This window comes from Homo sapiens, chromosome 7 (assembly GCF_000001405.40).
Source record: "Homo sapiens chromosome 7, GRCh38.p14 Primary Assembly".
NCBI lineage: Eukaryota > Metazoa > Chordata > Mammalia > Primates > Hominidae > Homo > Homo sapiens.
The window spans coordinates 82778634-82802980 of NC_000007.14; the positions used below are offsets into that span (position 1 = coordinate 82778634).

The 24347-nt window shown below is 34.4% G+C and overlaps 1 protein-coding gene across 4 annotated transcripts in view; it reads right to left on the minus strand.

The window, feature by feature from the left end:
* The window catches only part of PCLO (piccolo presynaptic cytomatrix protein), a 408873-nt gene that overhangs the window by 24622 nt on the left and 359904 nt on the right, over positions 1-24347 (minus strand). For all 4 annotated transcript variants that reach the window (XM_017012006.3, XM_047420211.1, NM_033026.6 and 1 more), the window contains one exon: positions 22885-22958. In XM_017012006.3, the coding sequence (XP_016867495.1) occupies positions 22885-22958 (74 nt within the window). The remainder of the gene's footprint in view (positions 1-22884; positions 22959-24347) is intronic.

Below are 24347 nucleotides of genomic sequence, written 5' to 3' on the forward strand. Positions count from 1 at the left end.
TGAATACTTAAACCATTCACAGTTATTTTTTGTTGCTTTTTACAATGTGAAGTACTAGTATTTTTTTTCCATGTAGGCAACCGATTTTCTCTGAGTCATTTATTTATCTGCCATGCCTTTCAATTTTTTTTATAAATAAAGTTTCCTGACCCTTGAGGATTTTTTCCTGGCCATCTGCTCAGTTTCTTTGGTCTGCTAGATTATACCTGTGCTGTACTAAAATATTTTATGTAATATTATACTTGATAACTAGAAACAGCTCTATTTTATCATTTTTCTTCAAAATTTTTTAGTCCTTTGGTCTTTTATGTAAATTTTAGGGTCACCTCTCAAAATTCAACAGCAAACTTTATTTTTGTTATTTAATTGAACTTTCATGACATTTATATATTAACTTCTTGTTAACATATCAATCTTCATGATATTCATCTTTATGACATACTGTATTCACGTCTTCTTTTGTGAACATTAACAATAGATTTTTTACTTTATCATACAGATATTATGAGTATTTTGTTAGATATATTTCCTGGAGTCTTAGACTTTCTGCTGCTATTGTTAAAAAGTTCTTTTTAAAACCGTGTTTTGAAGTGGTCATTGCAGGTGACATAGGAAAGATATTGCTTTTTGCCTTGATTTTTTCTCTTTGTCTGGTTTTCACATAATTTTTTACCAGCTTTATTTTGAATAATAACTGAATAATATGTATCTTTTCATCCTCCCTTTTCAACCTTTCTGTGAGATCCAACTTTAGATGCATTTTCTGTAAACAACATGTAGTTAGATATATTTAATTACTTTGATTAACTTTGTCTTTTATTTGATGATTTAAGTGAATCAACATGAATTTGTGGTGATTTGGAATTAATCATGTGTTTTTCAAATTCCTTTTTCATTGTACTTTTTCTACTCTTTTCCTTCTACATCCTTAACGAAAGCTTTTAGCTATCGGTAACAGAAAATCTTACTTAGAATGAAGAAACAAACAGGAAATTTTTTTTCTGATGTAACAAGAAATCTAGAGGTAGACATAGGTTTACCACCTCAATATTGGTTTAGGAACTGGGTTTTTTCTTTATTTTTGCTCTATATTTTTTTTTCTTTCTTTCTTTCTTTTTTTTTTTTTTAGACAGAGTCTTGCTCTGTTGCCCAGGTGGAGTGCAATGGCTGTAATTTTTATTATTCGTTTTCATCATTTTTGTCTCATCGTTGCAAGATGCCTGCTACATACCCAGGGATCACTTTTGCCTTCTGGACAATAGTATGGGTAAGGGATATAAGGGTTTTACATCACAGGGTTCTTGCAAAGATGAAATGAACTAATAGAGTGTTCAGCATATTTTAAGCTCTCAGTAGGTGTTAGTTATCAACAGTTGTTCTACAATAGAAATTACTCCTTACCATCCAGTTATTGTAAACCTCTTTCTCACTAAAAGTTCAGCTAATATGCTGTACTACATTTGGTTGGCAGGAACACCACATTTATAACTCCAGAGGGTACCATTCACAAACCGGTTTATGTGAATAGTGCCTCTTGAAATTGGCTGTTTACATCTTACTTGTCCATATATGGGCAGTACTGGTCTCAGGCCTCTTATTAAATGAGACATTCAAGATTATTACAGTTTTTGATAAATACAAAATACAATTGCCATTAAAGTTGAAATTATTAAGTAGAGAATTTAGTAATCTATCTTAAACGAACTAATAGAACGTTTGTTCTGTGGACTAATTGCTATGGTTCCCCACTTCCTTTGAAAACCTGCTATCAATTTTCAGTCTTCTGGATTGATTGAAGATTGAAGTTAACCACCACTCTCTCCCAAGATGCCTTCTTAATGGAAAATACCTATCATCTCCCCAAATGCTTGAACAGCAAAATAAGCCTCTTGTATGTTTTTGTTTGTTTTTGTTTGTTTGTTTGTTTTGTTTTGAAAGGAGTCTCGCTCTGTCGCCCAGGCTGGAGTGCGGTGGCGCGATCTCCGCTCAATGCAAGCTCCGCCTCCCGGGTTCTCGCCATTCTCCTGCCTCAGCCTCGCGAGTGGCTTATTTGTTCTTATTCTCAGTTTACATAGTGATACTACAAATAAGTGGTTACTAACAATATTAGAATTCTTCTAAGCCCACATATGTCTGACATTTTCCTCAAATGGTAAAGACAGTATCTGTTACAAAAATTTATTTTTTTGAGACAGTCTCAAATAAATAAAAGAAGCTTGAAATTGTAAAAATTGGGTGAATCATAATATTCAGATTGGTTGTTGTATGTTGAGAGTACACCATTTGATGCTGCAGGGATTGGGCTATAACTTTAGCTCACATAATTTAATTCTTGGGAACAGACTCAAAAGCAGTTCCTCATAGTGGATTTGTATGAGTTTTCTGAGAAAGAGGAAGAGTAAACTATTTTTAAATAATCAAAACACTAATAAATATTCAACAAATAAGAGAAATAAATAAGCAGTAATTTTGAAAATAAATAAATTAATAAAAAATCAATAGATTTAAAAAATTTTTCATTTACCCAAATTAATTTATAAAAATTCTTCATTTCAGGTAAGGTAAAAAGATCATGTTCCTGACAATGTTTAATATAAATTTAATTAAATATATTTATTATATTATGACTTACAATATAAAGAAACTGCCATTTCTTGTTTATTTCTTCTAAAAATAACCAACAACCCCCTCCAGCCCCCCAAAAAAACCCAAAACAGAGTACATGTGCAGAACGTGTAGGTTTGTTCCGTAGGTATACGTGTGCCATGGTGGTTTGCTGCAACTATTTACCCGTCCTTTAAGTTGCCTCCCTTTGCCCCCCCACCCCCCAACAGGCCCTGATGTGTGTTGTTCCCCTCTCTGTGTCCATGTGTTCTCAATGAGTAACTGCCATTTCTGCTAATGCATGTAATTACATTTGTGTTCTTATGATATATATTGGTTTTCATCCAGGGTTCCTGGTTTATAACTCCCACAGCCCTTATTACAGTCTTTTGTTACAATGTTGGGTGTGTGAGGCTTCAGGGGCAGGCCTCAGGAAATAGAATCTCTCTCCTGCCCTCCTTTCAGCTGCCCCAAGGCAGAACTCTAATCTTCTCCCACCTTTCTGATGTGAGTCTTAAGACCCTCCCCAGGGAAGGTCCCACCCTGTACTCTGTGGGAAGAAATGTTGACATCATGAAGCTTCCATAAAAACCCAAGAGGATTGGGTTTGAGGAGCTTCTGGAGAGCTGAACACATGGAGGTTCCTGGAGGGTGGCATGCCCAGGGTGGGCATGGAAGCTTCTCGCCCCTTCCCCCATACCTTGCCCTGCACATCTCTTCATCTGTGTCCTTGATAGTAAACCTGTAAACATAAGGTTTCCCTGAGTTCTGTGAATTGTTTCAGCAAATTAATCATACCCACAGAGGAGATCACAGGAACCCCAACTTGAAGCCAGTCGGTCAGAACTTTCTAAGGCCCAGACTTGTGACAATACTTGTGTGTATTGGGAGGCAGTCTTGGGGACTGAGCCCTTGACCTGTGGGTTCTGACACTAGCTCCAAGTAGATAGTGCTGGAATTAAATTGGAGGACACCCAGCTGGTATCTGTAATTTGGTGTGTGGGGAAAACAGCCCCCTAACCTCTGACGTTTGGTCACAGAAATCTCTGTTGCTTGTTGTGGTGTGAGAATTGTGGAAAAACATGATTTGAGGAGAGGTTTCTTGAAATAACATTCCCTTCCTTTTCCAGAAAAAAATCTTCTATACATAAATGCTCAGTTACAGCATGCAAACTACTAATAATTTATTTCATTATTTTCATTTATTTTGCTTAAATCACAGGGACTGGCTATGTCTGTTTTAGAGGACTGATTTTACAGTGCATCCAATATTGTAAATCTACTGTGGCAACATATGCTTAGCCAGAAGAAGTCGAAAGAGAAGAGAGTAGAATGTTCTATTCTGGAAATAGTTTTCATGTCACATATAAAAATGATATACTAAATGAATTATGTATAAATTCTAAATGAGCTTTGAAACTTTTTTACGTTAATATAAAATAGTATAGAATATCAAAATCCATTTCAGAAATTTACTACGGTTCACTGTTATGTTTTTCATTTCAAGCAAAACTCTTCTAAAGTTTCCATAATATAAATATATTTGAAAGTGTCTTATATATTAGTATATACAGAGATGCCTTAACACAATCTCTTATTTTATCTGTCTAGTATCTTTTCTCCTCTTTCACCACTATCTCAAGAACATCTACTCCCAAATGCATATGGTTCTCTTAAGCTGGAAACCACCATACTCAATTTTCTTTGTCACGATGTTTGTTCCAGGTAAGTGCATCTGACCCACATAGGAAAAACCAGAGTGCTTCACTGAGGATGTTAGACATATTTTCTCCTTTGGGTCAAGAGTGTAAAACTAGGCCTCAAAGGAGCCAGCAACTTCATCCCTTGCCTTATAGAACAACCTGAGAAAAGGCCAACTTTCAGAGAAAAGCTGAGAAAAGATGTGAGAACTAAACAGGCTTGAGGCTGGTCTTTCCTGAGACTATGATATCTACATGTGAATTTCTTAGTATGGCCACCAGTAAACATTCTTTGGTTTTGAGTTTGTTTGTGTAGTTTTCCATCTCTTACCAGTGAAAATACTGCCTTATCTTAGAGTTAAAGAAATATCACATTTAAAAATTGCACCCTAGAGGGCCGGGTGTGGTGGCTTACGCCTGTAATCCCAGCCCTTTGGGAGGCCGAGGCGAGCGGATCACGACGTCAGGAGATCGAGACCATCCCGGCTAACACGGTGAAGCCCCGTCTCCACTAAAAATACATTAAAAAAGAAAATTAGCCGGGCATGGTGGCGGGCTCCTGTAGTGCCAGCTACTCAGGAGGCTGAGGCAGGAGAATGGCGTGAACCCGGGAGGCGGAGCTTGCAGTGAGCTGAGATCGCACCACTGAACTCCAGCCTGGGCGATAGAGCGAGACTCGGTCTCAAAACCAACCAACCAAACAAAAATTGCACCCTAGATGTAATGAAAAATTTAATGAATGTTAAAATTATTCAATATTGTTTTTAAATTAATTAAAAATAATTTAGGCATAAGAGAACATAAAGAATATATCATAAGAACTCATGCAATGGCTGGTCAGCTTAAGAAATCAAACAAATTCAGATGAAGCCAATAGGGTAATCCTTTCCCAATTGCTTCTCTCTCTCTTACCCCTGAAGTAATCATTATTAACTTGATTATTATAATTACCTTGTTATTTTAATTATATATAATTATATATGTATAGTTATATGTATTACATGTATGTATATATAGACACATACATACATGAATCCGGAAGAAATAGGCAAATTCTTAGCCCTTCTCACTGTATTAAATGATAAACCTGATACAGACATCATCATTTCTTTCCTGAATAATTGCAACAAATATTCGGAGGTCTTTCTTCTTTGACCCTTTTTCTCTTCAGAATATTCTCAGAAGAGTAATTAGGATCATCCTTTTAAAACTTGAGCCAGACTGTTTCATTCCTCACCTCAAAACCCTCCAATACTGTCCCACACCATGTTGTGAGAGTTCTTGCAGTGTTCAACAAGGCTTCTATTCTCTCTCTGACCTCATCACCTACCATTCTCTCCACTGCTCACTTCACCTGGGTCATACTCTTCCTGAAGGTGCTGGGCACACTTCTGCTGGTCAGCCGGGAACGTTATTTGTAGGATTCACACAGCTCTCTCCCTCATTTTCTTCAGTGATTACCCAAATGTCATTTTCTTGTGAGGCCTTTCCGGATAATATTATTTCCAAGATTTTTTTTCTTTTTTAATTGCAGATGCCCAGAATTGAATTGCCCGTATTCATCAATTCACAGCACACAACCACACAATTAACATCTGTCTCTGCCAGAACCTGTATTTGTTTGGTACTTTGTTTAGTTTATATTTTTCCCTTTTATCTTCCTAACTTTATCATCCTCATTACCCTCCCAACCAAAGGCAACCAGTCTTGAGTATTTACTGTATTTCTTTTCAATTCAACTTCTATGTATTTGTTTACATGAATGTTTACAAAAAGGTATATCTGTGAGAATGTCTAGTTTGGCTTTCTATCTATTTATTCTGAACTAAAATAATATCATGCTGTGAATCTCATTATTTGTACTCATTTATTTCTCAAATCTATATTTTTGAAATCTATTGATTTTATTATATGTAGATCTAGATAATTTTTTTCTGACAGTTGCATGGTATTCCATTACCTGCCTATAATATATTTTATGTATCTGTTCCTCTAGTTATGGAGAAATAAATATATTGCCTCCAGCTTTTTACAACCACAAAAAACTGGAAAACATTTCTTTACTAATGCCTTTGTAAATGTTTACTTACCAAATAATTTAAGTTTCTTTGGTATTATTTTATATTTCATTTTTTCCTTTAGCATCACAAAACAATTATTCTTTATTATTCCAGGACAGTGGTCCTCAACCTTTTTGGCAGTAGAGACTGGTTTTGTGGAAGACAATTATTCCATGGATTGGGGGCTGTGGGGGATGGTTTCAGGATGAAACTGTTTCATCTCAGATCATCAGGCATTAGATTCTCATAAGGAGCACACAACCTAGATCCATCACATGCGCAGTTCACAATAGGATTTGCATTCCTAAGAGAATCTAATGCCACTGCTGATCTGACAGGACGCAGAACTCAGGAGGTGATGCTCGCTTGGCTGCCACTCACCTCCTACTGTGTGGCCTGGTTTCTAACAGGCCACAGACCAATACAGGTCTGTGGTCCTAGGGTTGGGGACCCCTGTACTAGAAGAAATAAAGCTTTCAAAGTTATAAGCTAAGAAATTATTCTATATATTTCTATAGCCCACTATCTTCCCATCTCCCAATCATTTCAGCTCATAGTTTTGCAAAAGAGATAGAACTTAAAAAGATCATTACAATTACAGGGTGATTGGCGCAATGATGGAGGCACTGACAGGAGCAAGAGAAAACTTCCTTAACAGAGCCAGATGGAGAGCGCCCACAGATAGGTTCTTGAAAAAGTAAGCTGAGGGGTGGGTCTCAAAGGATGAAAAGGTGTTTTCCAGGATCAAGCATTTTGGGAATGGGTGATCATATTAAGCAAAGAGAACAGCAGGAGCAAACTTAACAAGAGAAACTGCAGAGCCTGTGTGGAAGACTCAACACAATTTTGATATAACCAGATGTAAATTGGGAGAAAGGACATGTCAGGAGATAAACTGGAGAAGTAGAAAGAGGGGCTGGTTGTGGTAAAACCTAGCTAGAGTTATATGGTTCATGAGGTCCACAGAAATATTTTATGCTAGAGAGTGACAAAGTCAGATTAGATAGTGGCTGTAAAAGAGATGTGAAGATGATGATAATTCATCTTCAAAAACTTCTAAGGTAGATTAGGAGATCAGTGTGGACACTAGGCATTTCTTTTGGTGAAATGTGATGGAAACCTAAAGTTAGGCAGTAGTTAGAATGAAAAAAAGGAAAGAGATTTAAGAAATCCTGAAGAGGTAAAATCTGCAAGGATTTGGCAATTGCCTAACCGTGGAAATGAGACAGTGATTAGAAGAATAATGTAACTAAAACCAAACCTGAGATATAAAATACAGGAGGAGAAGAAATTTACAGGTTAAGAGCCATAGTATTTTCTTCTATCCTCTAGCAAAACAAACAAACAAAACTACAATCTGATATATTTTTCTATACCAATAAATTTGCATATTTAGAGTTTTAAATCTTAAAAGTTTGTTTAAATCGTTAACAAATTATTCTTAATTAGTTAAACAATTATGTTTAAGGAACATAAAATTGTATATTTCCATATCTCCATATTATCATGTTTGCCATTACAACAATTCAACCTAGATTGATTCTAGATCGTATTTTGCAAAATGAATAATTAGTGACTCATTAATTAATAAAGACACAACTTTTTGTTTTGATACTTTAAGTTCTGAGGTACATGTGCAGAGCATGCAGGTTTGTTATAGGTATACACGTGCCATGGTGGTTTGCTGCACTCATCAACCTGTCATCTACATTAGGTATTTCTCCTAATGCTATCCCTCCCCTAGCTCCCCACCCCCCAACAGGCCCTGGTGTGTGATGTTCTCCACCCTGTGTACATGTGTTCTCATTGTTCATCTCCCACTTATGAGTGAGAACATACGGTGTTTGGTTTTCTGTCCTTGTGTTAGTTTGCTGAGAATCATGGTTTCCAGCTTCATCCATGTCCCTGCAAAGGACATGAACTCATCCTTTTTTATGGCTGTATAGTATTCCATGGTGTATATGTGCCACGTTTTCTTTATCCAGTCTATCACTGATAGGCGTTTGGGTTGGTTCCAAGTCTTTTCTATTGTGAACACACAATAAACATACGTGTGCATGTGTCTTTATAGGAGAATGATTTATAATTCTTTGGGTATATACCCAGTAATGGGATTGCTGGGTCAAATGGTATTTCTAGTTCTAGATCCTTGAGGAATAACCACACTGTCTTCCACAATGGTTGAACTAATTTACACTCCCACCAAGACTGTAAAAGCATTCCTACTTCTCCACATCCTCTCCAGCATCTGTTGTTTCCTGACTTTTTAATGATAGCCATTCTAACTGGCATGAGATGGTATCTCATTGTGGTTTTGATTTACATTTCTCTAATGACCAGTGATGATGAGTTTTTCTTCATGTGTTTATTGGCTGCATAAATATCTTCTTTTGAGAAGAAGACACAACTTTTAAAAGCAGGTTTTTAAATAACTCAATAATTTCATCTCATTCTATTGTTTTAACCCATGCCACAATTATTTATTTCCAGGAGCGTTTTAGTAGAATATTTTATTTAAAATATATTTAAATACTTTATTAAGAAAACTATGAACAAGAAAATGATTAACTTTAGTTCTACAAAAGTTTAAAATATCACATGACGTGCTAGACAAATCTCAATCTGAGACTGCTAATCCATGTTCCTAAAGTCATTGGAAAATGACATTCTGGAAATAGATCATATTCAGAGCTCTAAAACACCCATAAACCAATGAGCAACAGCTCATATTAATTTTACTCAGATAAACTCACGGCTGACTATTTAAAAAAACCCTGTAAATTGGCTGAGGAATAACACAGCAGTCTCAACATCAAACTAAATTGCAAAATTTGACCTAAATTTTGACCTAGCCAAGTCATCATTAATTAAAAGGAAATGAACTCAAACTATCAGACTATCAAAAGTAATAAACACTTGAAGAAAAAGCTGTCTTGAAAATAAATTGTTGAGAAATAGTTCCTGTTCATTTGGCCTCTTGCAGTAACTGAAGTCATTATAAACTACCTTTTCCACCAACTAAAATAGAAGTCAAATAGAGCATGCCTCTGGTTAGCTAAACACAGAACCATAGAATGTGAAATGGACTCAGGCACTTCAGCACTAAAAGATGGCTTCAACCAATAAGTGTATTTATCTGATTTAATTTAATCAATCTGATTTAAATTTATAATTTATATATTTATGATTTAAATTTAATATATATTTAATATATAATTAATAATTATATATAATATATAATTTATATATAATTAATAATTTATATTAGTATATAAATTTAATATATATAATTGATATAGTTATGATTTAAACTTAATAATCTGATTTAAAAAGCATTAATGAATGAAATAAATATTTTTTAAAAACCAAAATAATAACTCAGTTAACTGCCTTACTCTAGAAGATGTAGTATTTTGATAAATTACATTTCTTCTGGTTCAAGAAATTCCTTAATGTTCTCAGCGAACTTTGTGAAATGCATATAGCAACATTTAAGTCTTCCCAAAATAGAATTGTAATTTCTTTTGATTAAGCCTGCTTTTCATACCTTATGGTAGCATTCTGAATTTCTGATCTCTTTGTATAATACCATAGATGCATAAAATAAAAAGTATTAAACTAATTCTCCTACTATTTTCAGGATATGCCCAAAATGTTTTAATTAAAAACGTCAAATCCTTCTTCTAGACTTGTCTGCCAGAGATTTTCTGCCTTTACTGAGAGTGCTCCACACACACACTCACATACTAATCAGAATGTGGAAGAGTCGAATTGAATCAATTCTTTAAGTAACATAAAATTGTGTATTTCCATAACACGTCTCCATGTTATCATGTTTGCCGTTGTAACAATTCAACCTAGACTGATACTAGATAATATTTCTGCAAAATAAATAGTGACTCATTAATTAATAAAGACAAATTTTAAAAGCAGGTTTTAAAATAACTCAATCATTCTATCTCATTCTGTTCTTTTAATCTGTATCACAATTATTTTCAGGAGGATTTTAGTGGAATATTTTATTTAAAATATATCTAAATACTTTATTAAGAAAACTATGAAAAAAAATGATTAGTTATATAAAAGTTTAAAATATATAATGAAATGCTAGACAAATCTCAATCTGAGACTGTTAATCCATGTTCCTAAAGTCACAATCCTAAAGTCACAAGAAAACCACATTCTGAAAATACATAATATTCAGAGCTCTAAAACACCCATAAATCAATGAGCAACAGCTCATATTAATTTTACTCAGATAAGCTTGCTTGTAACTGTAAAAAATAGTTGAATCAATTAGATTGATTCAATTAGATTCTTAAATCGAAGAAGCATCAATTAGAATAACCTAATTGAATTAGAGTCTTCCATATTTGAAACAACAGGTCAATGTCATTATCTATATAAAGCTAAGAAAGCAAAATGTGGCCAGGCACAGTGGCTCATGCCTCTAATCCCAGCATTTTGGGAGACTGAGGCGGGTGGATCACCTGAGGTCAGGAGTTTGAGACCAGCCTGGCCAACATGGTGAAACCCCATCTCTACTAAAAATACAAAAGTTAACTGGGCGTGGTGGCAGGCACCTGTAATCCAGCTACTCGGGAGGCTGAGGCAGGAGAATCACTTGAAGCTGGAAGGTGGAGGTTGCAGTGAGTCGAGATCGCACCACTGCGCTCCAGCCTGGGCAATAAAGTGAGATTCTGTCTCAAAAAAAGAGAGCAAAATGCAAACATTCTACCTAATTCAAACTCCAAATTACTCTTTTAACTCATCTTTAAAGTACTATATTGTCTTATAAAGCATAGTCAATTTATTTCTTCAAAATCCCGTGAAGGTTTGCTTTTCATCATGTTCGAACAGTTTCCCTAACTTTTAAAATCAGTTTTTACATTGCCCTCTGCTGTTAACATTTCTTTTCTGTTTAATCTTTCTAAATCATACTTGTGTTTAGTGATCATTTTACATGATGACCATTATCACATCATTTCATCTTTATGATGCTGGTGCCCGAAGCTGTTTTATTTGCATTTTGATTCTGAATCATTTTTAGAACAAAGAACCTCATTTGTCTTCCTAGATCACTCTCAGAGCTGTCTGTCCTGCTTTTCGCACCTCTGCCCCTGCTTGCATTCCAGTCCTTATCTATTGAATTGCCTCCAAACGAGTCCCCCAACTTCAGATAAGATCCTCTCTAACCCATCCTTCAGAACCCCAAATCTGTGTAATTTTCCTTCTTAAAATCAATCTATATCTTCCAATTGCCTATTTACAGTGTGGAGTCTAAGTTCTTCCTGACAGCTTCAGATATTTCATAATTTATCTGAACTGTGACTGCTCTCAAATCCTATCTTGCACTACTCCCTCCAGCGCAGAACTATGCTACAGTCAGGCAACTTGTCCACAAGTTCACCAATATCACGTATTTTCTCATGTTGCAAAGGCTTTGACAATGATGTTTCCCCATATTGGAATCCTTGCCAGCATTCCTTCTACTATGAATACATATTACTTTTATTTCAAGAACTATTTAAAAAAATATTCCTGCCAGGAAGGCTTTTCTTATCCTTCCTACAGCAGAGTACCTTAATATTCAATATACATTCACATCTGTCAGAACTCTATGCCAATTGTTCATGAACATGTTTGTCTGTCCTACTACACTGGTTCTTTTTGGCAGAGACACTGCATTAATAATCTTCTGTAGATCCAGCTGCGCTTGTGAAAAGAGAAGCACAGTCAATATAAATTCAGAGTTACTATACTTTTAAGTAAATTATGTAGTTTTTAATTGAAGTAATAATCTCTCTGAGTTCAGTTTTAGGGTGGTAAACTCCTTAAAACCTGTATAACAACATACAGGATTAACAAGACTTTTCAAGGTGTCTTAGGTATGGCAGGCATATGCAAAAATCTAATGTTTTAACACACTCTCTCAATGTTTTTGTGTAAACATTTATTTCAGTTTCGCAATTATGTTATTAAGGTTGGTTTAGCCTTTGGTTTCTCTGAGTTTTTATTACTTGATTCAAACATATTTATCAAGTGGGCACTTTGTGCAAGTCCCTGTGCCAGACACTGGGAATAGCATAAATACGGTAATACCTTATTATAAAGGATTCCTGTGAGAATTGGGTTCACCAGATTTTTTAAAGGACCTAGCCAAATGCTTGGCAAATAAATGAAAGTTGTGTTGTTGTTATTGTTATTAAGGGGTTTGTGTAGATTTTTTTAAAAAAGATGAATCATCAATTAGAATGAATATAAATAATCATTCAATATGACAATATCATAATAATATGTGTAAGATAAAGCCCTGCTACTGCTACTTAGCATTCCATAACACCAACAATAGTTGTCTGGGCTCCAGAGTGCAATGTAAATTAGAGAAATCACAATGGTGTGCTATTTCTTGGATAAGTGAGCATCCACTTTGGATGATAACAGCCTAAAATTGCATCTGCTTAGTGCAGGACAAAACATGACTTGAGTAGATAGCAAGTCCTTTTTCAAAGTAAAAGATTTAAACAGAATAATCCACCTCCACAGTTTTTAGTGGTACAAAGCAAATAATAGAATATATTGATGATTTTAGAGATTAGCAGTCAACATTTAATAAACAAGCTGTGTTGTGCTTTCCTCAGAGTCTATTATCTCGTGTCCATAGTACTTTCTTATCTGTAAAACTGGTTCCTTAAGGGAAAGTAATACTTGGTTGACCAAGGGCTTCTTTTCTGAAATGTGCTGGTCTTTTCTTTTTCCAGTTTTACTTTTTTACTTACCTATAAAATATTTTCTTATACAGAAAATTATGTAAACTTCCAGGATTTTCTAGATATAATAAATTTTAAAAAATTTTCATTAAAGTAATAAACTAAAAGGTGGGAAAGTGAATTATCTTCAATAAATTTTGTCATTTTTAAAAATTCTGAATTTTTTCTTCCTGAACATTTATAAATTTATTTTTAAACTTTCAGTGAACTGGAAAAAGAAGTTAAAAGTTAAAAACTTTGAATTTCATAGACTTTTTTTCCTCCAGAGATTTTGTATTTTACATCATCAAAGTCAGGTTTTTTAAAAGTGAAAAAAACTTTCTCTATTCAACAATGAAGCTATCAGGAGGTCTTTAATGAGTGTGTCAGATAAAAAGAGTACTTAATTGTAATACCTACTACTGAAGAGTTTTAAGAGAATGGATATTCATAATAATTTAGGGGAATGGTAGAAAATTATTTACTTCAAATAATACCATTTTTTTCTTCTTATTATTATGCAGTTTGATTCCTATTGCTTGTTTTTCATTTCTTCATATAACAAAAGGTTGAATAATTTTATGGCTCTTTTTTTTTTTTGACAAGGTCTCACTCTGTCATCCAGGCTGGGGTGCAGTGGCATGATCTCAGCTCACTGTAACCTCTGCCTCCTGAGCCCAAGCGATACTCCCTCCTCAGCATCCCAAGTAGCTGGGACCACAGGCATGGCGCCACCACACCCAGCTAATTTTCGTATTTTTTTTAGAGATGGGGTTTTGTCATGTTGCCTAGGCTTCTCTTGAACTCTTGGACTCAAGCAATCTGCCCACTCCAGCCTCCCAAAGTGCTGGGATTACAGGGTGAGCCACCTCACCCCACCACCATTTTATATTTTTGACTTCTTTTTTAAAAAAATAAAATCTCACATCTCACATATCTCAACCCGTTATTTTACCGAACTCATAGTCAAATTGCTAAGAGAAACCCACTGCCAATTATTTTTTTTAAATCTGTTTCCTGGGTTCTTTACATTCATATTTCTTAAAATAATTTTGTATTGCCTTTATAATATATGGGCTTTTTAAATTTTGGTATATGAAGATTTAGCTTTTCTCATCCTTGTCATATATTACGATCTTGGTTAAACTAACATTTGGAATTTATATTAACTTGCCTCTTTAATATTCATTTTTGAGAAAATTTGGTTCTTATATGGCAAGCTTTACTTAATTTTCTTTTTTTCCTTAAGTTATTAATTGCTTTTTTTTTTTACAATTCGCTCAGCTTTCTGCGTACCTATCTCTAACTGTTCTCAACACTTCCAAGAGCACCTCTTTCAATACTATTTTTCACTTGGCCAGACACATCATGAATTTTGTCAATGCTCTTCTCTCCTGCATGAGCACCCCATTCACTGCCCACGTGCAGCCTAGAACTCTCCATATATTTTTGTTTTTGAAATTCGTGTTATGGTGGAGATGTCAAAGACAAGGAAGAGTCACATTCTATGCCAGTGCTATCCCTGGCTTTGACCTTCCCACCTGGGGTTTTTAAGGGTAGTACCTATGTGTGTGGCCGACGCTCAGGTGAAGATGCAAAGCAGTATCAGCTCTGGTTTTGAGTCCCAGCCAAGTTGATGGACACTCTGCCGCAGTTGCACCCATATGTTGAGAAAACAAAACTACAGGCTGGCTCTTCTGCTAGTGCTTGGTCACAGTGTATACCAGTTCACCTCCCTGGAGACAAACGCCATTCGAAATTGGGTTTTCAGGGCCCTGGAAGTATTGAATTAATCTCTAAACTTCTCTAGTTTCTGTGGAGGGCCAATTTTTTTTATTGGGCTACTAGAAATGTCTGTACCCCAAAATACATGGGAATCAAATTCAGATTTTTAATAACTGCTAATGAACTCTTCATATTTGATATTTGATCTCCACATTTGATATTTGATTTCCATATCTCTATATTTGATAAGATTTTCTCAGGTGTTCTTTATGCCTGCTGCATGGCTATTGTCTTTAGATTCTCCTTATCTCATCATGGAAGTCCTCTATTCTTTGTGTCTCTGGATTCACAAAGTATTGTGTGTGGGGTCAGGGTATGCTTCTATGTGGTTAATTCGCTATTTTGGTGGAGCATATCTTCAAGGAGCTTCCTGAGATAGGTAGCATGGAAAGTAAAATGTTTGTACTTAGCCTTCTCAAAAATCATTTCCTTTTACCCTTACACTTGATGGATAGTTTGTGTTAGATTTTTAGTTTACAATCCCTTCCATTTAAAATTTCAAAGGCATTAATTATTATCCTTTTCTTTTTAAGCCTCTATTATTGCTGTTGAGATATCGTTTGAATTCTTATCTTTTCTTCTTTGTAGTTAACGTACATTAATTAATTATCTGGAGAAACCTTTAGCATCTTCTCTACGTTTTCTGTTTTCTGAATTATTATGATGTCTCACGCTGCAAGTTTATTTATTTCTTGTCTTTCTAATGTGGAGATTTGTTTTCTTTAGTTTAAAGAAATGTGTTGTATTTTGAATAACGTTTCTTTTCATCTCTCCCTTTTCTGTGGAATTACTGCTAGTTAGAATTTGAGCCTGATAGGTTAATCACTTAATTGTTTTTTAATAATTATAAGTTTTTTTGTTGTTATTGCTAATTTCTCTTCAGTGAAAAGCCATTGTTACTGACATGCTAGTTCATAAATTTTTTTTCTTTTTTTTTTTTTTTTTTTTTTTTTTTTTTGAGACACAGTCTTGCTTTGTCATCCAGGCTAGAGTGCAGTGGCACGACCTCGGCTCACTGCACCCTCTGCCTCCTGGGCTCAAGCGATGCCCCCTATCTTAGCCTCCCTAGCAGCTGGAACCACAGGCATGCGCTACCATGCCCAGCTAATTTTTGTATTTTTTGTAGAGACGGGGTTTATGCCATGTTGCCCAGGTTGGCCTTGAACTCCTGAGTTGAAGCAATCTGTTCTCCTCGGTCTCCCAAAGTGCTAGGACTAGAGACATGAGCCACTGCGCCTGGCTCTCCAGTTTATAATTTTTGACCTTGTTTGTTCTTGTTTGTCCTTTTTTGAGCAAAACATGGGAGATCCTTATTTAGTATAGTGATCATTTAGTGATCATACAAGTTACAATATTTTAATCTTATTTATCATTTGCTCATTGCTTTTATTTTTGGTTTATTTTACTATATGTGTTATTATTATTTATAGACAAAAATGTTTATTATTTCTTTGAAGCCTTATGGCTTCTTATCTTGCTTAGGAAATTGCCCCTCATATTCCACTAAGCCTGTACAAATCTTACTTGGATTTCCTTCAAACATTTTTATTATTCCATTTTTAAATTTAATCTCCTTAATTAACCTGAAAATTATTTGGTATATGGTAATGACTAGAAGTCTAATTTTCTTTTCTTACTGAAGAAAATTATGGCAGAACTATTTGATAAACCAACTTTTTCTATGGAATGAAATATCTGTTCCATTGGAATTTATAATAATCATTTACTTTAAAACCATATATGGACTGGTTAAGTTATCCATTTGCCCATTTATCTATTTGTCTATTTTGTGTAATTTAATGTTGTTTTGAATACAGAAATTTTTAATATCTGATAAAACAAGATTTTTAATTTTGGCAAGCTACATAGCACCTGTAATGTAAATGGTGTTATTAGTTGATTGCCTATCATCATTAAGTATTGGATGTTTTCCTGCCCAAACCAATTAAGATAGTCTTATGAATTTAAAATGTTTTTTCATGAAATAGCTCTGTAACCTTCAATATCAAAATAAAAATGTTGGTAAGTACAATGGTAAGAGTCAGGTGATGTTAGATTAGCTATCTGTAGATTCTAACTCTTTTTAATAAGTTGACTATAAAACTCTGCTTTGAATGGTTTTACTGCTCTAGTTCTCTGTTTTCTTGACTATATAAGGTGGAAATTATTATTTCAATTATTCCATATCTATATCTCCTACTGTCTTGTGACAAATGAACCAGACAATGTGAAGGCATTTAGAACAAAATAAACATTATATATTTGTGATATTTACACATCTTTTGTTAATTTTCTACATCTATACTAAGAAAATATTCTTGGCTTATATTCGTTGTGTTATTTGCTAAGTTTTAGTATTCTTATCTTGATTCAAAAGCCTCTCTCTCATAAGTAAATCAGAGCAACAACTCCCAGTGCAACATTTCAGAGACTTCTAGGTAAAGAAGACATTTCAAAAAATATTGAAAACTACTATTTCAGATATTAATCTCTGAAAGTCTAAAATATTCTGGGCTTTCATCAAGCAATTGACAATGCTTTGATGTGTGCTAAGACGAAGAAATACCCAAGATCGCTTCCAGAAATTTAATTCATTTAACTTTTTAGTGGTCAATCGATACCCTCCAGAGATGAATCTGGCTTAGATTTAAGACACAGATTTTTAAAAAATATTTCAATAATAGGGTATTTTGCAGTAAATGCCATTAATTTTAAATTCCCAGTGAATAATCCAGGACTAGAAATAAGTGACACTGGATTTTAGATTCACGTAATTTAGGAAAATGTGATAAGGTGATAAGGTCCAGGGAAATCACACCCCAAATAGGAGGAGGCTTTCCCCTTGCACCCTTTGCTCTAGCTTCACTGAATAACTTCTCTTCTATATACCCCCAATCTTTTCTTCCATCTGTGATGTTCCTCATGGTGTTCTTCAGTCTGAACTTGGCCTCATTCATTGCCACATGTCTAGACCTTGTTCAACTTTCAAAGCAGTCACTACTTGTAACCTCTTTCACAAAACCATGCTCCCCACCATCACTTCTACAGATGCTGCCATGCTTTTCAATGCTGAAATTCCAAAGCATATAATTTTCCCTCTGGCTTATATATTTTTATTGTAATTAGTCATTGCATCATGGTTATTAAAGCCCCTTCTCAGGATGATTGTTAAAATATACAATAGGTGTGGTACAGTCACCAACCAATCTGAATGGATCCTGGCTGTACACACCTGGTTCAGCAAGCATGCTTACTGGCTGCTGATGAAATAGAACCAGCCATACTAGATGGACAGTATGCTCCCTCAGATCAGTATATGTACTGAATTGATCTCTGTAGGATCCAAAGTTTTAATATAGTGTTTTGCATATAATAGATACACTCATATATAGCACTAATCAACTTTGGAAATATAAGAAAGGTAGCCTAAGTATTGGGAAAAATAAGACAGCAAGGTCACATATTTGTGGAGTGAATTATTGGATGCTATAATAATAGCTGTTATTATACTCTAATTGAGGATCTTCCATAATGGTTTCATATTTTCTCTTTGAGAGTAGAGCCTAGCAAATTTCTAGAATGTTTGAGATTTATTTGTTCTGGAAACTGAATTTCCATTCTTACTGAAACTAAATTGGATTTTATAAAGATACTTAAGAAAATAAATGATTTATTAGGGGTATTTGTTCTTCAAAGGTATACAGCCAAGAAAATTAAGCTTCATGGAAAGTTGTGATTGTAATACTTTTTAAAGATGATAAACACCTGGTTTAGGAGACTTAATGGATCAAGGCAGCTACTACATGGATGCTCACTGGCAAAAAATAACTATTAAATACATCCATCTTAACTAATGGAAGGGTCAGCTAGCTTAAAGGATGTAATTAGATGTTTTTAGTGTAAATTGGGAAAACACTCATCTGTACAATTTGAAAGTCTAATTGGTTTGATTTAAATGTTAAAGAAAAGTGGTCGTGTATAGCTCTCATTGTCAACAAGTGCACAATATTTTATCAATCCTGAATAATGATCATTTCTTTGGATGGGATCAAAATGACTCTCACATATACTTCTAATTTAATAATAGCTACAACTTAAAGGATGTTAACTGTATGCCAAATACAACACTTATTTTTGCTTTACATATGCACTTAATTAAATTGTGGAAATTCAATGATTGATTAGTGGAGATAGTCTGAAAAAGTATTACTGTTTTATACTACAACTTAGGTTGAATCCCAGAACCCTTCATAGGGCTCACATTCTGACCCATTGAACTAATCTCATGCTGGGATTAAAATTCATAAACAACTTCTGTGAATAAGGTAAAACATTATTAGAGAAAATGACTAAGTGGAAAATTATTGTTTTTAAATTAGAAGCAGAATAAATGGACTTGCTTAATAAGAATAACAAGAACATGGCTATTTAACATTAAAAATACTCAATGACATTCTCAACAGAAATTGTAACTCCCTAAAACATTACTTTTTACATTCTGAACCCCATAAAGCAAAAACAAGAATAAAAATTGTATGTGAACAAACCGTCTAAAAGTGATTACTTAAAATCTATGATATACTCTGGATTAAAGTATGCTGTCCTAAAGCAAATCTTTGTAGATGAGTATTTCTTAGAGTGGACTAAGGTATTCATAAAACAAAGTGCTTAAATGAATAATATAAGTAATCGAGATGAAGTGGAACATTTCAAGGATCTATAATTTCAAGAAAACTGTGCTTATCTACAGAGTCACAGTTTTTCTGATGTCCTGGTGAAGGATTGAATGGAGGAAAAATACAATAAAAGAACTATATATTTTGTCTAAAAAAAATTGAATTGACTCGTTTGTTTTTGTTCCCCCGCTAAATTGGCTGTTTATGTTCACTGACAACAAAGGCAAATAAAGATAATTATTTGGATCACTCAAAACAAACAAAACACTGATTAAACATATATCTCAAGTACAACACAAAGTTGATTCCATATTTCTACGTGGACAAAACAAAATCTTGCACTTTGCATTGATGTGTCCTCCTATCTGCATAGAGCAAATACATTCTTAATCATTTTCTCCTCACTCTGTTTATATATTCTTTCTAATTTAAAATTGCCTCTGAAAGTCTAATATTATTGCAGTTTTCTTCTCCATATTATTAACTTTTTAAAATATTTTGCTTATAGTGATTCATGCCCAATTCATATAGATACGTAGATTATAAATTTGATTATTGTCAAATGTTAATAGCAACTCAGTGAAAAACAACTTGTCCAAAATGTTGCTACCAAAAGGGCACTTGACTATAAATAACTCACATTATATTACATATTCTGTCTTGTTCCCATCCTCAACCCCCGCCCCTCTGCTCAATAACTAATCTAAGATCAACTGTTGATCAGGGTCAGTTCGCTAAAGGGGAAACATATTGACTCATAAGTTTAAATAAAAATAAAGTCGCCTCTGATTGGCTCCTTCTTGGAAAGCAAGCAAGTTTTGTGTGGGACTGATATGAAAGAAGAAAGCAGTATTAGGATGAATAATTTCTGTTCATTGACAGCTGTTAACATTTATACTAAAACAATTTTATTTATAAACTTTAGGATTAAAGAAAGGTAAAATTAAGTAGCTAAAACTATGCATGAATTGCTTCACTATATATCTAAATTCTAGACTAATACGAAAATCAATAGCTGCTAATTGTATAGATGATCATATTTGTTATTCATTTGCTCAACAAACATTCTCTAAGCAACTCTGTGGGCAAGGCTGTCTGCTAAGTGCTGGGATACCAAGAGGAATAAGCGCTATCTCTGGTTTGAGAGTTGTTCAGCCTTATGGAGGAGACAAAAATAGAAATAGGTAATTTAAATCAAAGAACAATGATAAAATATGCAAATTCTGTCAACTGTGTTTTAAGAGCATAGTAGGAAAAGGAGGCAAAATTGGGGAGAGGGTGAATTAAGTGCAGGGCATACGTAGCTTGATGCATCCATGTAAAATATTGTGCTGGCCCTATACTTATATGCTCTCAGATGCATTCTTCGGTCTCTTCCTTCCTTTCTTCTCAGAGTAGCTGCCCTGTACAGTTTTCCAGACCTCTCCGTCAACTGGCTTCCAGTTGGTTTTGATCAGGCACTGGCAGAGATTGGAGAATGGGAGGAAGAGAGAACCAGGATATTTCTCCCCATCCTTGTCTGTCTCAGGATATATTTCTGGCATTGGCTGAATTTCTTTCATGTTTCTTGCTCCCAGAAAGCAGGCTTGTCCTGGTTTCGGCTCTCGCTGTCCTCTAGCTTATGGGGACAATAGCTATTTTTCTGCTGCTTCACTATCCCCCACTTAGTTTCTCAGCTTCTTTCACGAGTATATCATCAATTGCTAGTCATTTGTTTCCTCTATTTCAAATATTCAGAGCCATTTCTAGTTTCCTGGTTGGACACAAATGCCTGACATACTGAGTCTAAATTCCAGGAGTTTGGGCAGCAGGTTTGGGACTAATCAACATATAAGAGAGAGTTCATGAGTGTACACAGAGATACGGTAGGTAAAAAGATTGGTAGATTGAGGGTGGAACCCTGAAGTATATAGCAAGAGATAAAGGAAACATAGCTTTTGAAGGCGTCCAAAGATTAATTTACAATTTCGAATAGAACAAGAAAAATGTGGCATTCACTTAAGCCCCTGAGAAAACCTAGGTATCACTTAGACCCAGCATTTGTCAGATGAGGTTTCTGAAGATAGAGAAATTAGGTCACATATCTAATAAAGACCAGAATTGAAACCTAAACCTGTTTCCCTATGTAGTGCTCTTGTGATAACACACCCATTATCATGGTAATAGTGTGACATTTGGTGTCATTTTCACTTGTTCTGTCCTTGTTCCATGTGTGCACTTCAGTTTCCTTTTATATAAAGCCAATATATGTTATTAGTTACCTCATAGGTAATTGTAAGAATTAAATGAGACAGTGCATGAAAAGTACTTAGAATAAACTACTTAGAATAGTTAAATGTATAGAGAGAGGTTGGAATGACACATGAAGGACTATAGGGCTACTAGATTTTATTTATTTTATTTTTTGAGATGGAGTCTCCCTCTGTCGCCCAGGCTGGAGTGCAGTGGCGAGATCTGGGCTTACTGCAAACTCTGCCTCCTGGATTCAAGCAATTCTCCTGCCTCAGCCTCCTGAGTAGCTGGGATTACAGGTGCGTGCCACCACGACTGTCTAATTTTTGTATTTTTAGTAGAGATGGGGTTTCGCCATGTTGGTCTCGAACTCCTGACCTCGTGATCTGCCCACCTCGGCCTCCCAAAGTGCTGGGATTTCAGGCGTGAGCCACCGTGCCCAGCCAGGGATACTAGATTTTATCACAGTATTATGAAAGGTAAGCTTGTCATCGTAAAGCTTATAGATACTCCTTTTATATGTTTGCTGACGTCAAGGATTTTTCACATTTGGTAATAATTTATTATTTGTTTAATAAAACGAAATTTGAACTTAAATTTGGTTTGTCTTTAGAAGTTAGTTTAGCAATTAATTTTTCTGTAAAATGATTTTTACACCATTAATTTCTTCTCAGCTTCGTATATTTAAGAATTTCTATGGACTTAAATGAGGTTCCATGATTGATTTTCTATTTGCATGATATTTTAAACAAAATATATGTTATATTTTTAAGTTCAAGATTTCCCTCCCACCCTGGGAAAGTCTTCTGAGTCTTTTTCATGTCATCCTTCTCATTTTTCTTTCTCTTTTAATTTTTCAGTACCCCAAGTTACTTTAATGTTAAACACAAATGAGAAAATTGGGGAATTGTAAAATGAATACAGTCATTCTCATTTAATAGATAATGATATCTTACTACCTATTGCTTTTGCCATTAGTTTGTAACATTTAAATTCATGTTAAAAGAAAAACAACTGAAACACTTATACTGTAGAATGCAGATTCAGCCAAAATCCAATATTGTAAATTTTTACTTACCTTCAGTGTCTGCTAGTCCTACTCCTACCCCTGGCTGTTTTACAGGCTCTTGTCCATTCTGTCCCATCTTCCCTCTGTTTAGAAATAAAATAAAATGATATATTCAGTTATGATCTCATGAATGCAAAAGAGGCTAAATTTGCATAAATAAAATGACATTGATAGTAATGGCAAAACCTGCAATTACTTTTGCACAACCGAATATTTTTGGACTTGCAATAATTATTTGAATGGCACATACATACACAGTTAATTGCTCTATATCATAATTTTAAAATGTGAACTTGTTTATTATTCCTATTCAGGCCAAACAATATACCTCAACATTCAGTAGTTTTTATTTGTAGACTATTTATCAAAAAATAAGACCATCATGACATTTAGAAATTTTGTTTTAGAATTTTTTATTTATTTCTAACTCAACAATGAGAAGGGGCTTTATATTTTTATATGTTGTACTGATGAGTTATTCCAGTTTTTTTGGTAAAAAGAGCAATATTGAATTAAATAATATATAAAAATGATATTTTAATAAAATATTTCTTATTTCATGTATTTTTTTTTCAACTCCTTTCTGTGTTTTCCACTGTGTTGAGCAAACTGGCTTTTGTAGTCAGGCTGCTTGGTCTCTGTTTCTGGCTTTGCTATTTCTTGCTATGGGTAATGTAAGGCAAAGTACCTGGTCAAGACTGTTTCTCCTTTTGTGATATAAAGATAATAATATTAGCTACATTTTGATTATGAAAAAAAACACATGAAAAATGCGTGAAAAGGGTTAACAGAGTGCCTGAGAAATAATAAGCATTCAATAAACATGACATATTAACAGGTAGGCATGCTCGTAGTAGCCTTAGAATTCAACCAAAATCTGCTAATCACTTTTAGTTTTCAGCTTCAAACTTTTTGGAAAGTCAACTAGATGAAGAATTCAGGATACTTTGAGGACTGTAAGCTTAGAATGTTAATAATTTAACAGCTAAAGGACAGTAGACCACTTCTTATTTCTTCGGCTAGAGAAAAAGCTACATGGCACATGAAGAAGTTTGGAATTTGCCTTTATATGTGCTTAGATAAGGCGTTCTAAAAAGATGGAATAAAAAATTGTTACAGAAAGATGCTTGAACAAAAGAGCATCTTGATACTGCACTTTGTAGACAACACTTCTAGCATAGTGGGATTTACTAACAATTAATTATAACTTTCATAGGAAGTATTTGGTTTGCTAGACCTGCTGAAAATGTAACCATATTTATTTCTTAATAATCCAATTATATCTTACTTGAAAACTGCTCTAAAGGTCCTCTTATTCTACTTCAGAGAAGGTGCTGAAATGTTTCCGCACATAATAAAAGAACACATGTAAATTCAGAAATTATTTTATCTCAAAAGCCATTACATTGTTCCATTATAATAATTCTAGGTTAAAGGTTTAAGTACAAATTTTTATTAAGTGTGTATGTGAG